The sequence below is a fragment of the Homo sapiens genome, chromosome 3, assembly GCF_000001405.40.
Source record: "Homo sapiens chromosome 3, GRCh38.p14 Primary Assembly".
NCBI classification, from domain to species: domain Eukaryota; kingdom Metazoa; phylum Chordata; class Mammalia; order Primates; family Hominidae; genus Homo; species Homo sapiens.
Window position 1 is genome coordinate 96,619,066 of NC_000003.12, and position 1,223 is coordinate 96,620,288.

The 1,223-nt window shown below is 34.3% G+C and overlaps 1 pseudogene; it reads left to right on the top strand.

Moving 5' to 3' along the window:
• Positions 204-809, top strand: RPL18AP8 (ribosomal protein L18a pseudogene 8; annotated as a pseudogene).

Below are 1,223 nucleotides of genomic sequence, written 5' to 3' on the forward strand. Positions count from 1 at the left end.
TAATAAAATTAAATAAAAGATGGCTAAGACACTGAATTATTAGAATAAATTTATAACTAGAAAACTGTAAGAAAATCAGATCATATTGTTCTCTTGAATTTTTTTTAGAAATTACTCAGTTTTCATTTTTTTTATTCAAAAGAGAAGTCTCTTTTGACATTTAACAGACTAGATTTAACATCTATATAAAAATATATTTTTCACTTTTGCGAGTGGCAGCGAGCACAGACGGGACACCACAAAGGCCTTGGGCACACTAGGAGAGTACAAGGTGGTGGGTCACTGTCTGTCTGCCCCCAAATGCCACAGACCACCCATCTACCGCATGCGAATCTTTGCGCCTAATCATGTCGTTGCCAAGTCTCCCTTCCGGTACTTTGCATATCAGTTAAAGAAGATGAAGTCTTTAGGGGAGATTGTCTACTGTTGGCAGGTTTTGAGACGTCCTTCCTGCGGGTGAAGAACTTCGGCATCTGGCTGGGCTATGACTCCCAGAGCGGCACCCACAACCTGTACCGGGAATACCGGGACCTGACCCCCGTGGGCGCTGTCACCCAGTGCTACCGAAACACGGGCGCCCAGCACCGTGCCCTGGCCCAATCCATCCAGATCATGAAGGTGGAGGAGATCGCAGCCAGCAGGTGCCCGCCGGCCTGCCGTCAAGCGGTTCCAGGACTCCAAGATCCAGTTCCCACTGCCCCACTGGGTCCTGCGCCATCAGCACAAGCCACACTTCACCACCAAGAGATCCAACACCTTCTTCTAGAGGCAGAGCTCTCGCCCGGGTGTGCCCCAAATAAAATCAGGAAAATGTATGTATATATATTTATACATAAACAAAACATATTTAATATATATAAATAAAATATATAAATAAATATATATAATATATATATTTCTACATATAAATAAAATATACACTTTTTGTATATAAATTAAAAATATATTTTATAAATAAAATATATATTCCTAATATATAAATTAAATATATAATTTATACATAAATAATATATAATATATTAATAATATATAATATATAAATGAAATACATATCTTTTATATAAATAATGTATAATATACATAAATATATATTTTTCCATATAAATAAAATACATATTTTTTATATTTTATATATAAATTATAGATATAAATAAATTTTTTTATATATTACATATAAATTTTAGATACATAAAATATATATTTTATATATAATGTGTAATACA